Raw genomic sequence first — 16,373 nt, 5'->3', positions numbered from 1 at the left:
CGTCTATTTAAGCATAGATTCAATTGGGCCAGGCCAAAGCCCAGCCAGGCTGGTTTCATCAGAGAACTGCCTTTGTAGAATAATTTGCCCTGGTTCAGTTTGATTTTTTTTTTCCACTTCCCCCAAAGTAAGATTAGAAAAGCAAGTAGGTCCCTGGGCCTCGATGGCAGAGATGATTATCACCTCTGCTGGGAGGAGGATGTGGTCCTTTCTCCTTTGGCAGATTACGACCTCTTCCTGCTCATCACCATAGGAGGATGCCCCAGCTGCAGTGGGAGGCAGAGTGGAGAGCCTGGGAGTGTGGGCTCCTGTGGTCCACCCTGGGCTGCTCTTCCTACCTGTGGGACTGGGACGAGGCAGTGGCAGAGGGATTTTGGGCTGCTGGAGCCTGAGGAGGCTTTGCCCCTGCTGTGCCCGGTTTGGCAACATCCCATGCTGCCATGGGGTGGGGAAGGTTGGGTGGAGAGGCCTCCTTTTCTCTTTGAAATGAGGCCATCAGCTCTCCTTGTTGGAAATGAGCTGTTGTCTGGCTTCGGTGGAAGGACAGGTAGCTTTGATGACACATAGTTACTGTGTGTCTGTGCCGGTGCTGGGACCCTGTCTTCCAGGACTATATATGGCCTTTCAGAAGAGACTTAAATTAAAAGAATTCTAAGTGTTAGAGGTTTCTGAGGATTCGTCTAGACTACCCAGGGAACACAGAGAAGGGATTTAGCCCAGGGTGGGAGGGTAGAAGGGGGTCGTCTCCGACCCCTAGAAAAGTGTGTTTCGGGTGGGTGCTAGAGGTGGGCAGGAACAAGTTCCAGGCAGAGGAGGGAGGAGGCTGGGAGAGCACATGGGGTGAGTGGTGGAGATGGCCTGCACCTACGTGAGTTGTGCTCTACTAGAGGTTTACCTTCATCCTGAGGCCACTGGAAACCTAAAGGCCACTGGAAACGAGGGGAAGCCTGATAAGGTTTGCATTTCCTAAAGATCCCCAGCTGCTATCAGGGCAGGTGGGCTGGAGGCCTAGAGGCTGGAGGGCTTGTCCAGGCCAGAGAGGCTGGGGCTGGATAGAGAGAAATGGGGGGGCCTGAGGGAGGTCGTGGAGGGGGAGTGGCAGCCCTTGGCCGTGAATTGGATGTGGGAAGCAGCGGATGGATGTGATGGGAGAGGGCGTCTAGGATGACGCCCGGGTCTCTGCTGAAGCAGCAGGAAGATGGCAGAGCCTCATTGAGATGGGGGCACGGTGGGGGTTCTCGCACACTGAGCTCCAGGGCACCCAGGACCCACAGGTGGGTGCAGAGGGAAAGCAGGGAGAGGCAGAGGGAACCACGCCTTCTGCGAGAAGGGGAGGGGAGGGCTGGCAGCATGATGGGGGTGAAGAGAGAAGCAAAGAGGGGAGAGGAGAGGGGAGGAGATGGGGAGGAAGTTCAAAATAGAACGCAAAAGCTGCTTTCCCTCCTCCCCCAAGGCAAGGACGGTTAGGGCCTGGCAGGCAGCGTAGGGGAGGCTTGACTGGAAGAGGAGAAGGAGGCAAGTGAGGGGAGGATTCTTCACTTGTAGAGGAAGCTGTTTCGGTGGCCATGGAGCTTCTAGCAGGAGCTGGTGGAGGTTGGAGCTGGGATCCCCAGGTGGGCGTGTGAGCTTGGGAAGAGGATGCACCTTCCCTTAAAAGGGAGGGAGGAGAGGACAGATGGGGAGTCCTGGGAGTTTGGAGGAGGAGAGGTGAGAGTGGACCCATCTGCTGGCTGCTGCGCGCTCCAAGAAGTAGGAGTGGAATTCATTCATCTGTGGCGGCTCCCGTGGGGGGCAGAAGTTGGGGGTAGATATCTTCGGAAGGTGCGGGAAGTTGAGAATAGCCCTCCTGCGGGTTCCCCTGCAGCTCACGGCAGAGCTGGGGCCTCGCTGAGGTGACTGGGGCTTGCTTGGCCATTGCCAGTGCATGACTTCCCCTGGCAGTGCTCAGTGCTCCTGGAGCAGGCACAGGCCGAGCCTGTGGGGATGGGTGGGCACAGGGCTGAGGAGTCTACAGCACTGGCAACAGTAGTGGCCATAGAGAAGGGCCAGGGATCTAAGCCGAATGAAGGCAGAGGGCGGCTCCAGGAGAAAGTAAGGGGTTGGAGGGCGGGAGATCCTGGCCCTCACCCATGCTGTCACCCAGTGATCATCACTGCATTTGAGAGAAGAGAGACCTGCTCCCTGACAGCGGGTTCCCCGGGCTGGCGTCATAGAGGGTGGCAGTGGGAATGACACCTGAGGGACCACAAGTGGGTTCGGACCTCGGGAGCCTGAGCTGCTGGCCCCTGTCCTGCCCATGGCTCTGAACTGTCACCCTCTGGGGACAGGAGCAAGTGCCTGGTCCCAGATAATGGGACTGCACCCGCCATACGGCGGCATCAGAGACACCTTCATGATGATTAACAGCATGCTGTCAGGCTTTAGGGCTGCCTCCGCCGAGAGAAAGGGCGTTCATTCGAGAAAGTCTCCCTGGGCTTGTGGGTTTGTTTTTTCCACATTCCCCAGAAGGTTCTGTGGTCTCGGGAAGGTGTCGCTGCGCTGCAGGGTGCCCGCCTCGTTTCCCAGTGACAAATGGCTGGCTGTCCCAGCTGTGCAGCGTCACGGAGACCGTGTGAGTCAGCGGCTGGCTGGCATGGGCTGCTCCCTTGAAGTTCCCAAGGGCTTGCTGCCTCTGATGGGAGTGGGGGAGCCACCAGGCCCCTCGCATTCCCGCCATCCTCGCCTGCCTCGGGGCCTCTGTCTGGGCTGCCTCGATGGAGGCCAGCTCAGGTGGGCTCTTGGCCAGGCCGAGGAGGAGGAAGAGGAGATGCAGGAGAGGTGCCCTTTGACAGAGGAGCGAGTGCTGGTCTGCGTCCTCAGACACCCCAGCTTTGCTCCCAACAGAGGGGTGGGTGCTGGTCTGCATCCTCAGACACTCCAGCTTTGCTGATCTTGAGAGTGTTTGCATTGATACCTTTGTGAGAGTCACGGGTGGGCCTTTGGGAGCTTTGGTGCAGGTAAGTCATCTTTAGTAAAGGAAAAGGAGCTGGCCAGGGGGTGCACCGGGAACTCTCTGCCTTGTGCAGAGGGACTCAGCTGGGTTGCCCACCTCCATTCTCCAGGTCTCTCAGTATTACAGACCTCCCTCACCGGGTGGCCAGCCCCAAACCGAAAGGGCTCGTGCCTCTCCATCATTCCCTCACATAGCACCCCGGCTCCTGCTCTTAGCAGCCCTCCTTCCACTCCATCATTGTGTGTTTACTCGCGCTGTATCCGTCTCTCCATGGTCTCTGCGCTCCATTAGGGGAGGACGTGGCCCTTTCACTCCACTCCATCACCGGTGCCTGGTACATCCAGCTAACACTTACTTATTAGTGATGTGAAATGAATGAATGGACATTTACCATTATGGACAGCACCTCATTAAGGTTTTTAAAGTGCTATCAAAGCAATATGTACCCTTGGTTTAAAAAGCCACTAGTACAAAATCAGTACGGGAAAGCTAGGTTATCATGAAACCAGCGACTCCTGCCAGCTCATCTCTCTCCACACCACCCCTCCCCAAAGCGAATTCTTTGGGCCATTTCTGTCACCTCCACCCATCTTTTCATCATATGTTTATTGCTGGTTCTTCCATGGGTTCCATTTGCCTTCTTGTCCTACATTTGAGCCTCCTTTAGTTCTTGCTCCGTGAACTTTCCACCCCATCTTGCCTTTGCCCTGGGTGAGCTGAGGCTGCACAGATGGGGCCCTGCTCTCTCTACACATCTTTTCTCCAACCCGTCTTTACCTCCCGACTTCTGTTGCTGTTTCCTTGTTAGGGTTTGTAATATTTCCATTGCATTTATGTGAGCAGTAAATCTTACCTGTTTGGGGGAGACATTAACTCTAAAAGGTTAAAAAAAAAAGCCATAAAACTGTGTTTCTATGATGACTGTGACCGTGGTCTATGCAGAACTAAGGAATGTATCAGGGCGGGAGTGCCTTCTCTTTGGGTCGGATGTCACAAGCCCAGGGCCTCCCTCAAGAGGAGGCTCCTAGCATCAAGAGCACATAAACTGTTTTTCTTTTTCTTTCTTTCTTTCTTTTTTTTTTTTTTTGAGACGGAGTCTTGCTCTGTCACCCAGGCTGGAGTGCAGTGGCGTGATCTCGGCTCACTGCAAGCTCCGCCTCCTGGGTTCACACCATTCTCCTGCCTCAGCCTCCCGAGTAGCTGGGACTACAGGCGCCCGCCACCATGCCCAGCTAATTTTTTGTATTTTTAGTAGAGATGGGGTTTCACCGTGTTAGCCAGGATAGTCTTGATCTCCTGACCTCGTGATCTGCCCGCCTCGGCCTCCCAAAGTGCTGGGATTACAGGCTTGAGCCACCGCGCCCGGCCTAGACTGTTTTTCTTATATAACCACCAGCTATACAAAATCACTCCATATTTTAGTTTATTCTCTGTTTAAAGAATGGTTTTTTTATTAGAAAAAAATTTTTATTTCTTTTTTTTTTTTCATTAGTACAAAAGCAACATATATACATGCATTGCTGAAAGTTAGAAAGTTCACATAAACAGGAATTCCTCCAGTTGTCCATAAGACATCCTGGACGTGGCCAATATAGTTCTATCTCTTACCTGGGTATTGTGATGGTTTTCCCCCCAGATACTGAAAGGCTGGACCAGTTGTACCACAGCATCCCAATTCTGGATTTGTATGGTTGTTCGCTTGTGTTGGTGGTTAGCTTGTTCTTCTATCCCCATATTTCCTGCAAACTGGAAGTTAGATCTAAAGCCATAGAAGTTTAAAACATTTGCCAGAATACATCCCAGGTGATGTGTATTTCTTATTGCACTGCATTCAGACACAAATTATACTTAGTTGACCCACAATCAGTGATGCTAAGACTGATCACTGGGTTACATTTTCCCCCTTGACCTGGAGAGTAATCTACCTGGTGTTACTTTGGTACCATGTGAATAAATGCAGCCTTCATACATATATCTGTTTTGTTTTGTTGTTCCTAGAGTTTTAATTTGCCTTTCGTCTTTCTTATTGAGAGAAGAAACATATCTTCTTCACCATATCACTAAGAGCTTTAAGCTTCCTATTGATTTTATCTGCAGAAAGGAATCCATGCCATTCTTTTTGTGGATGTTTTTCTCAGAGCCACATACTTGGAGTTCTAATTTCTACTGATTGCTTTCTAGGCTTGCTGTCCAGTGTCTAATTATACTTTTGGATTGACTCCAGTTTTTAAAAATATCCCATTATATCACCTCCTTCTCTTTATTGGCTTGTGCTTTCTCCCTCTCCCCACCCTTCTACCCTTCTCTCTCTGCTGGAGTACATCCTTAAGTACTTCCCCAATTTCTGAGTTTTTGAATGTCTAAAAAGGACTAGTTTCCTTCTGTATTTGGTTAGTAGTTTGTCTGGGTGTAGGGTTCTATAATTTTTGCATGGAGTGCAACAAAAAGGGGGTGAGTGTAACAGAGTGGGTCATGCGCTCTTTGACATTGTCTCAGTTAAGTCTCAGTGTCGCTATCTGTAAAATGGGAAGGTAGTACCTGTTCTAGGTTGGGTTCCATGGGAAGCTGAGTCTGTGAGCCAAGTAGGCAGGAAGCGTATTGAGGAGTGCTCTCAGGATCAGCGTGTGTGTCAGAGTAAGGGAGCAGGCTTGGGCTGCGATGCTGTCACAAGGGCATCTCAGCTGCTCCCATGGGGAGTTTTGGTGCTGGAGTGGCCCCCAGAGATGTCCCCAGCTGAAGCGAGGGAGCTGAGTCTTGGCTCCCTCCATCGAATCAAGGAGACCAGTAGAGGGGTGTGGCCTCAGGGGATGAGTTGGGCAGTGCACCCAGCATCCACTGCAACTTACAGGACCCACCATGCGGCGGGTCCCCAGTAAATGGCAATTTAAAGTGAAGGGAAGCTGCGTTTGCCTGCTGAGATTTCTCTAGCTTTGTGGGCCTGTCATGAATACTGGGGAGTAATGTTTTGATGAGAATCAAGATGTCCTACCTAAGGACATCAGAGCATTCCACCTGGCTTTGGGGTGGGAAGTATGGATGACGTGGTGTCTGCAGGCTTTGCATTTCGCTTGGTTTCTGGAACAAGTGTACACAGCACTTACTGTGTGCCAGGCACTGTCCTTAGTGCTTTAAAAATGCCAACTCCGTTCTCACTGCAAACCTATGATGAAAACAGTGTTCATATCTCCGTTTTTCAGATGGGGAAACCGAGGCACAGAGTAGGGATCTTGGCCACACCGCTGGGAAGGGGTGGAGCTGAACTGGAGCCCAGGGCCTTTCTCCCAGGCCGGTGCTCTGAATGCCTCAGCATGGCTGCCCTTTCTGTGCCCGCGGACCCAGGGTTTTTTTAAATGGGTGGAGGTAGAAAACGAATACTTATTTGGCTCCTCTCTGTGGGTCTTACTCGCGGGTGAGATTGATTGCAACCACCAGAAACCTAACCACATTTGGGCAAATTAACACAAGTTTGTTGGGAGGACCTGGAAGCCTCAGGAGTCCAGTTGCAGGAGGCACAGCCCAGCCAGGAAGGGACAGCAGGGTCCCTCGATTGTGACTCCCCTGCCCACGTAGACCACCCTCTCATCTGTGGCTGCCTCCCTCTTCTCTGCTCCTGGTCTCCTGCTGTGTCTGCTGTCCAGCTGTTTCCACATTTGTACCAGCACACACGAAACTGGAATGGCTTCTGTCCCTTCACCTGACCCTGTCACCCACCCGTGGGCAGGTGGGTGGGGGTGGGGAGGAAACGAGGCCTCTTCAGCCAACAGGACAGAGCCCTGGGAGGCAGCAGGCTTAGGATTATGGCCCAGTAGCCATGCCATGTAGATTTCATCCCCCTTCCATGCATGGGGAAACTGAGGTTGAGGGAGGCAGCCTGTGACAAGCTGCAGCAACCAGGCTTCTTCTCCCACCGCAGCGGCTTCCAGATCTTATCCCTGGAAACAGTCTGCCCGCTGGCTGGTGTTAGGGAAGGTGGGCAGCAGCTCTGCTCCCTGCTAGAGGTTTTCTTCTAGACTGTTCCATGGAGCTTGTCACTCCTGGGCCTTGGTGGCCCCACTCTGGCCTTGCACAACACGCCTTCTGGGCTGTGCAGGGTGTGGTAGGCCCTGAGCTCTCCCTGGAGGGGTCCAGCCAGTGCCTCCTGAAAGTCACTGATTTGCTGCTTTGTTCTTCTGTCTCTGAAGCCGAGTGTTTAAGACGGATATGGAGCTGGAGGTTCTGCGCTATACCAATAAAATCTCCAGCGAGGCCCACCGTGAGGTAAGTCAGGCACCGGCTCTGGTTGAGTGGGGAAAGCAGTGTTGCTGTGTGGCGAGAGAACTGCGTGAGGATGAAGGGTTTCCAGGTGGGCTCTAATCCCTGAGGGCCAAGTGAGAGGTAGGAAGTTTTACACAGTGATTGTTCTCTTTTCTGTTCCCTGGTGGGCACAGGGCAGGGACAGAAGGGGCTCTGCCCCAATTCCTCAGCTTAGGGCACCTGCCCATCATGCAGTCGTGGACACTAATCCTCAGGAAATTATCCAACAAAAAGTCCCAATTCTGGGAGGGTAGAGTGCTCCTTCTTCATATCCCAGCAGTTCTCAGCTCATTTTAAAGAATCTTTTGTCCTTAACTGTGGTTCAAACACACTGATTACCATCATCCATTTTCTGAAAATTTCTCTTCCAAACCTTCCCGCTTTACTGGAGGAATGAGACCAAATAAGGAAACACATGTCTTGAAAGATGAGGATGGCCCACCGTCTGCTCAGGAACATTGCAGTTTTGTGTTAGGAAACAGACAAGGGTAATTGATGGGCAGCGTACTCTGTTGTACGAGATAATGCTCTCCGTGTTTTATGAAAGTTAAACAAAGGAGGCCTTTTAGTGATCGTCATAGCTTTCGTGGCATTAAGTATTCACCAAGCACCTCGTGGTTAAATCCTCACTGTCCTCGGGCTGCTGGTGGCCTCTGAGCTGTAACTTGAGGCATGGCATTTATCGGCTTCCAAATGGAAGTGCTTCATAGCAGTTTAAATAAACTGTATGGATTTTGGAGCTTTTAAAAAGTTCTAATTTGTCACATGTCTGTACCACTGCATGCACATATCATTCTTTTTTTCCTTTTTAAAGAAGAGGTGCTTTTGAAGAAGTGCTGTATGTTATTTATCACGCTGTGTTACTGATCTGCTTAATACAAATGTCTTTGCTTAATATCCGTCCTCCAGGTAATGAAGGCTGTAAAAGTGGGAATGAAAGAATATGAGTTGGAAAGGTAAGCCACCATGTTTCTCCGGGTAAAATTAAAAGGTAAAAAACAGTAATTTATGTTCCCTGAGTGAGTAACAGATGAGACGCCGCAGTGGCACACACACCGTGAGCGGAGATTATGAACAGGGCTTCAGGATCACAAGCAAAGATTATTTTTCTTCTGACTGCGCCCGCCTCCCTGGCTCTTGGCAGAGTGTTTGATGTAATGGTTTTCGATGACTTTTCAGGGTGGTTTAGTGCCCCACCATTCTACTCTCGGACTTTGTTTCTGCCATTTGCAGGAAACTTTACCAAATTGCTGCTCTTATGACTCTGAAAGCCGCCAGTAAAACAGCTTGCCGTTTTTATGTGTAAACACTGCCATTATGTCTGCTGTGCTCGGGCGACTGGGTTGAGGGATGGTTAAATGGCCCATAAAGAGCTCTGGAGAGCTCCATTGGCCTTCTGCTCCTATTAGGGCTGCAGCGAGCCAGTGGCACCCGGGGAGCTTCCGGCGGCTGCCCAGCCGTGGCGGGTGTGGCCTGGCCAGCTCAGCCCCGCTCCAGGACCCAGAAGTCAGTGTGCTGCCACCCATGGTACAAGGAAACCTTTGGGTCAGACCCAAACTGCCTCAGTGGCTCCCTTCCCACCCGTGTCCTGGGGCAGGAGGCCCCCATTCCGAGACCTCCCACCAGTGTTGGTACCACCTGGAAGCTCTGGGGAGGTGACACTGAAGAGGCTGCCATCCCCATGTCCTCACTCTGGGCTTTCCTTTCCTGCCTGTCCTTGTGAGAGCTTGGTTTCTGGTATCCCTTACCCCCCTTGCAGGGCCCAAGTCCACCCCAGATGTCCTCAGGGCCTGCTCTGTTCAGAGCCCCGGCCCTGGGGGTGCTGGCTCCATATCACCCTCCCAGGCTGGCCTGCCTGCCATCAGTGGGGTGCAGGGCCGAGGTCGGATGGGGCCCGTAGTGGGCTGCTTGGATGCTTCAGTTCGCTGTGGCTGTGCTTAGGGGACGAGTGTCTTTTTAAGGTCTTGCCCTGGAAGGAGTTCTGAGCAGTCAGTGCCTGTGCTTCTCTCCTTACCCCGCCCAGGAGGAGGTTAAAATGGCCTGACCCAGGTGCTTGGCATCCTGGGAGGGGCCGTGTAACACACGTTAATCAGAAGCCCAGCTCCGTCAGCCGGGGAGGCTGAGAAGGGCTCGCAGAGCTATCCCAGCACTTGCGTCTGCGTGGTCTCCTTCTGCAGTGCGGTGTCTGTGGCCCAGCATTCCCAGGACCCCCTGCCCGCTCCGAGGATCTGGGATGGGAAGTGTGTTGTGGGGCTCCTCCAGCGAGGTGGGCTGGACAGTGGGTCCCTCAGATTGGCACTGCCCCGGAAACCTGTCCCAGCTTGAGTTGAATCACAGTGACCCATAGCTGATGCTTCAAATAAAAATAACTGAGAAATTGGGGCAGGAATAGCTGAGCCCAGTGTGGAACCCTGCCGTCCTCTGCATGCTGGCTGCTTGAGCCCCGTGCTGCAGGCAGTCCTGCTCCCAAGGTGGCTACTGGGAGGGGCCCTGAGCCTCCCTCCCCACAGCGTCCCAGAGCCCGACCCTGCCCAACCTGGGGACAGGGCTGCATGGGCTATGGGTCAGGGGCCAGGGGACCTGGAATACCCGCCGTTCCTTAGCCCTCATGCCTTCCAGGTAATGGAGGTCTTTTTTTTTTTTTAAACAGGAAATTTCAGTATCCAAAATAATAGAAAAGTATAATGAACCCCAAAGTCCCCACCAGGTTTTTGTGTTTAGTTTTGTTTGCTAGAGCATTTTAAAGCCAAATCCTAGACATCGTGTCATAGCACCTGTAAATACCTCAGTAGGTATTCCAGTTGGTGAGAACTTTTTTCTACTTTTACATAACCACCATGCCAATATCACATTCATTATCACAAACGAACCGTAACTCCTTCATGTCATGAATATCTAGTCCATATTGATCCTAAACTCTTTTTAGCATTGGTTTGTTCAAGTCAGGATCCACACAGAGTCCACATGTTGTACTTGGCTGCTGTTGGAAGCAGGGTGTCGTGAACCTGAGCTCTGGGGAGATGTCACCCCTGTCTACAAACTGCTCCACCTTCCCTCCACCCCCATCCCAAGACCCTGGGTTGGCCTTGCTGCCGCCTCCTGCGTGGACCAGAGTGGCTCTTGGAGAGATGAGCTCGAAGCCAGAGGCCACAGCCGAGTGCACCGGGAAGCTCTCAGCCAGGAGCAGCCTCCCACAGGGTGCTGAGTGGCATCGGGTCAGCGTGTGTACCTGCTGCCCATGCTGTGCACCTGCCATGTGCACCCACCTGCTGCAGGCCACAGGACATAGGGAGGGGAAACCGTGCCCACCAGGGAAGCTATCTGATCTGTGGGCCCCTGAGAGCTTAGAGCAGGGGGGTGGGTACGGGGACTGAGACAGGAAGAACAAGAGATGGAGGCTGTTCCTGAGGGGACCGAGTTGGGAGAGAGGGGTCACCCCCTCTGAAGATGGTGGGAAGATGGGTGTCTGGGGAAAGTGTCACATCATGGAGTATCCCTGGCCAGATTTGAGGAGGCGCCCCGATTGCCAGTGTCCAGGTTGAAGCCCCTGGGGACATCTGCAGCCAGGGAGGTGGGCTGACACTTCTTCCGCCTCGAGCTCCCTCTCCAGGGCAGGATCACTATGTGATGCAGTTTTGTGGTCCTTGTCCTGGAGAGCCTGGAGGCGCCTTCTTGGGGACCATGTCTCATTTATCTGCGCGGTGTCTGACCCACTGTAGGTGTCGGGAAATGTATGTGGGTGGAAAAGAGAAGAAAAGGTTTTAAGTGATTTTTCTGCCATCTTCTGTGTCACTGGGAACTTGAGAATTCTTTTCTTAACTAGTCGGGGAATAAAAATCTCTTCTAAAGCCCGTGTTTTTGGTTACCCGGGGGTGTGCCTCTTTGAACACAGGCTCAACTGCTACCAGGGAAGGCTGGGGGGCAGCTGCACTGCTGTGTGAATCGCTGACTCACTGGGTTCAAAGGAAACCAGCCGCTCTTCTATATGTGTTGACAGCACCCTGTGAGCAAGGTGGGCATCCTTAAGACCTGCTGGACTTTCTGCTGGGGGCCTGGCTGGCTTCAGCCTTGCACAGGGACACTGGGCATGAAGGCAGGGAGCTCTGCAGTTCAGGACTCGGGGCAGGAGTCAGGGCTGGTTTTCTCGAAGGTGGACACACCACCCACCCCAGGACTCAAGCGATGGTGGCCTGGACCTCCAGTTCTAAGCCTCATCTGTTTTTGTTTTATTATCTATGATTTGTTATAAAATCTTGAAGGCATGTTAAAAAAAAAAAGTGAGCGAGCGGATGGCATTTATGAAGACTCCTCCCTCATGCGGCGCCTGGGAGTTGAGGGTTCAGAGGAATGAAAATCATTTTCCGCAATTGAGGTGTAGTAAATTGTGTTAAACCAATAAGACGTCCGTGTTGGGTAAATTGGGCTCTAACAGCAGGCCCAATCAGGCCATCCGTTTTTCCGCCTCCTATTATTTCATGTTAGTGGCGTACCCAGCTTGTAGCCAGCTGGCGTGGGGCTGGCGGCCGGATCCATTACCTGCAAACGCTAATTTAGAGCATGCTCCATTGGCTGTGTAAGCGAGTCCCAGCTCACATTTGCCACAAGGAGATTAATAACGCGATGTGTATGACAGCCTGAGACCTTGATTGAAATTATGCTCTTTCTCTCTGAGCTGTGAATGGGGCATTTGGGGCCCTTTTGTTTCTGGGGGGTCATGAGAATCATGGGAAAGGGAGAGGATCTGTGTAGTGTGACGGGTACCGTGTGGTGGCGTCCCCTTCCAGGCCAAGACCCACTGGAGACCCTTCTCCACAGGCCTGGGCTTTTCTGGGCGCTCCTGCCACAGGCGACAGCCCTCAATCGCAGCTCCTGTCCCCGTCAGTCCCTTGTGAGTGAGGGGCTTGCCCAGCTGTGCTCCTTCTCATTCAAGGCCTTGGTGCTTTTCTTACTCTTTGGCCACATGGAGCAAGTTGTGATTCTGTGTGCCCAGCGCCCCTCGAGTACAGATGGGCTGGGGAGAGGGGACACGACCTGAGGGTCTCCCCCAACCAGACACATGCCCCAGATGCCACACACATGACACACACGCCACACCATACACACCACATACCACACATCCTGCGCACTCCACATACACCACACACATGCCCTATACCACACACACCTCACACACCCCCACACATACCATACACACTACGTACACCTCACACAACACACATGCTGCATAGCACATACACATGCCACATACCACACACCACACACCACAGACCTCCACCATACACACCACACATGCCACATACCACACACAACACACACGCCACACACATCACACATACACACCGCCCACACCATACTCACCACACACACACCACACTCGTTCCACATACCACACACACACCCCACACCACACACACACCACACATACACATCATGCGCCATGTACGCCACACATACACACCTCCACACACAACCCCCACATACCACATACCATACACACACCACACATATACCACATACTGCATACATATGACACGCCATACACACCACACACACCATACATCACTTGCCACACACACCTACATACCACACGTCTCATGCCACATGCACCTACACACCACACACACCACACATCGCATGCCACATGCACCTACACACCACACTCACCACACATCTGATGCCACATTCACCTACACACCACACATCGCATGCCACATACAGCCACACACCACATACACCAATACCCTGCACACACCACAGCCATACACATTCACACCACACACATGCACCACAGCCATATGCACACACCACACCATACATACCACATATGCTACACACCACACACAACATGTACCCACCATCCCCATACACACACTACACACCATACACACGCCACCCACCACATGCCTCACATACACGGTATGTACCACACCCATTGACATACCACATACATACCCGCCCCCCAACCCATACAGAGCCACCCGAGCCGAGGGTGCTGGGGGCGGGGTTGGAGCTCTCCGTGAATCCAGCCTGGGAGCAGGTTGCAAAATCCTTGCTGCATTCTTGTTAAACAGGACAGATTTTTTTCTCTTTTTGTTTGCTTGTTTGTTTGTTTTCTTGTTTTAAGACTAGAAACTGGTTGGGTGTTGGGTGTGGTGGCTCATGCCTGTAATTCCAGCACTTTGGGAGGCCGAGACAGGCAGATCACAAAGTCAGGAGATCGAGACCATCCTGGCTAACGCGGTGAAACCGCGTCTCTACTAAAAATACAAAAAATTAGCTGGGCTAGGTGTCGGGCGCCTGTAGTCCCAGCTACTTGGGAGGCTGAGGCAGGAGAATCACTTGAACCTGGGAGGTGGAGGTTGCAGTGAGCCTCTGCATTCCAGCCTGGGCAACAGAGCGAGACTCCATCTCAAAATAAGTAAATAAAAAAGACTAGAAACTTTGACTCCAGTAAGGACAGCCAGGAGGTGGGAGAGTCTGTGGGCAGCCCCCCTCATCCCTGCCAGCCCACAGTGCTCAGGACTGCAGGGGGCGTGGGGCCGCAGAGAGGACGCCCCTCTGGGGCGATCTCTGCTTGCTGCAATCTCTGCCTCCCGGGCTCAAGTGATCCTCCCGCCTCAGCCCCCCAAATAACTGGCACCACAGGTGCTCACTACCTTGCCCAGCTAATTTTTTATTTTTCGTAGAGATAGAGTTTTGCCTTGTTGCCCAGGCTGGTCTAGAACTCCAGAGCTCTAGCATTCCTGCTGCCTTGGTCTCCCACAGTGCTGGGATTCTAGGCATAAGCCACTATGCCCGGCCTGGCACCCTCTGCTTTTCATCCGAGTCCCTCCTGTGCAGCGACTCCTGAAGAACTGTATCTCGGATGCCTGTGCCCACATGGTCCTCCTCCCGTGTGGGGCTACACGAGGCTGTGTTGCCGGGCACTCTGGGTGGATGGTGAGACACCTTGTGTGTCTCTGACCAGGGCTGGGGCCCCTCACAGGGCATGCAGAGGACGCAGGTTTCACTGGAGAGGGAAGTCACTAGGAGGTCCCCGTCTTCCTCCGGGAGGTCCTGGAGATGCAGTCTCCATCATCCAGGCACAGTCTGACCTAATCTGCTCTCAGCCTGGACAAATGTGGGCATCAGTGAGACTGCCATCCATTTAGCCACCCCCACAAAGGGTGCTGCAGTTTTGAGGACTGTTTGGAACAAGTCTGGGTCCAGGCGGCCTCTGAGACCGGAGCCCCCAGGTAAGAATGGATGTGATGGGCCCTGGGGACCAGCTGTGTGTCCGTGGGCAGGACCCTGCACCCGCTGAGCAGACACATCCTTTCTCTGAAGGCTGTGTTGATGGGTGAGGGCACTGGCACAGCCCATTCAGAGAAGAGGGCCCCTTCAGACACAGGTCTGGGCTGGAGAAACACCCTCTTTGCCTCAGGTGGCTTGGAGTAGGTTTGCTGCTAGCACTTGCTTGGCTGTTGGAGACGGGCCCCAGCCTATCATGAGAGCAGTCAGGAAACACCATCTGCGTGTCCAAGCCCTAGGAGGGCAGTCCTTGAGTCCTGCACCCTGGCTGGCCATGCCTAGGGGGATTTAAGCTGAGCCCTTCCCAAGAGCCAGGGCTGTCTTGGGTGGAGAATTCCTTAGTCCAGAGCCTACCCTGTGCTGGCAGGGCAGGTCCTGTGTGCCCGTCCATCCTGCTGTGTCTACACCACTTGGCATGAGGGAGGGAGTTGGGGACAGGCGAGTGTGGAGAGTCTCTCCACCAGAGATTCGACAGAGCCAGGGATCCGAGAATGAAACTGGGGCTCTCAGCGGGGTCAGGCTGTGGGACCCTGTGGCTTAAAGCAGGGATGGCTCATTTTGCCTCTAGGAGTAACTGAGGAATGGGCATGTGGAGAAAACCAACTTGGTGTCCAGCCAGAAAGCTGGACAGAGAACCAGAGAGAAGAGCTTTCTGCAAATGTGTAACCTGGTCGATGAAGGACTAGAGATTTTGGGGCAAAACTAACATAAATAGGCATTGTCTTTTCAAATGCTGGGCGCATTGCTCCTGGAGAATCATATTAGAAATCATAAGGAACTGTGCTCCCTGTGGACATCTTTATGGATTTTCCTCTAGTGTTTCACCATTAAACCTGATATTGCCAGGCATGGTAATTACACACTCATGCCTGTAGTCCCAGCACTTTGGGAGTCCAAGGCAGGAGGATTGCTTGAGGCCAGGAGTTCAAGACCAGCCTGGGCAACATAGGAGACCTCTGCCTCTACAAAAAAAAAAAAAAAATGTTTTTAATTAGCTGAGTGTGGTGACGCACCCCTATAGTCCCAGCTACTTGGAAGGCTGAGGCAGGAGGATTGCTTGAGCCCAGGAAGCCAAGGCGGCAGTTAGCTATGATCACACCACTGCACTCCCATCTGGGCGACAGAGTGAGACTCCATCTCTTAAAAAAAAAAAGAGAAAAAAAAGCCAAAAACCTGATGCTGACTGTTGATTTCAGATAAATATTTATCACGAGTTTAAGGAAGTAGCATTGTCTTCCTGGCTTACTAGATTTTATCAGGAAAGGATGTCGAATTTTATCAGCTGCCTTTTCAGCATCTCCCTTGGCCTTTTCCACGTGTGTGTTTAATCAGTAAACTTTTTATTTTAGGATAGTTTTGGATTACGGAAAAGTCACAGGAACATTAGAGAGTTCCATGTACCTGGCACCCATTTTCCCTATTATGTATTAGTAAAGTTATTAACATTACTTTAGAACATTTGTTACCATGGATGCACGTTATTGATACTTAATTATTATCTTAAGTCCATGCTTTATTCCAGCGGCCTTAGCTTTTACCTAATGCCCTCCTCCTGTTCCAGGATCCCATCTGGGAGACCATATCACGTTCCATTGTCACATCTCCTTAGCCTCCTCTGGGCTGTGACAGTTTCTTAGAATTGCCTTGGTTTTGATGACCTTGACACTTTCGAGGAGTATGGCTAGGTACTTTGAAGAATGCCTTTCAATTTTAGTTTTTCTTTCAGCGAGACAGGAGTTATGAGTTACTGGGAAGGAGAGCACAGAAGTGCCATTGTCATCACATCACATCAGCATGA

General features: G+C 52.3%; 1 protein-coding gene across 3 annotated transcripts in view; it reads left to right on the top strand.

Annotated features, from left to right (window-relative positions):
• Positions 1 to 16,373, top strand: part of PEPD (peptidase D) — a 134,842-nt gene that overhangs the window by 50,556 nt on the left and 67,913 nt on the right. For 2 of the 3 annotated variants that reach the window (NM_001166057.2, NM_000285.4), the window contains 2 exons: positions 7,174 to 7,249; positions 8,195 to 8,241. The exons of the other annotated variant lie outside the window; for it this stretch is intronic. In NM_001166057.2, the coding sequence (NP_001159529.1) occupies positions 7,174 to 7,249; positions 8,195 to 8,241 (123 nt within the window). The remainder of the gene's footprint in view (positions 1 to 7,173; positions 7,250 to 8,194; positions 8,242 to 16,373) is intronic. 3 annotated transcript variants of the gene reach the window in all.

The sequence above is a fragment of the Homo sapiens genome, chromosome 19 (genome assembly GCF_000001405.40).
Source record: "Homo sapiens chromosome 19, GRCh38.p14 Primary Assembly".
In the NCBI taxonomy this organism is placed as follows: domain Eukaryota; kingdom Metazoa; phylum Chordata; class Mammalia; order Primates; family Hominidae; genus Homo; species Homo sapiens.
Note: the sequence above shows the minus strand (reverse complement) of the source record. Positions and strands in the feature narration are given on the sequence as shown.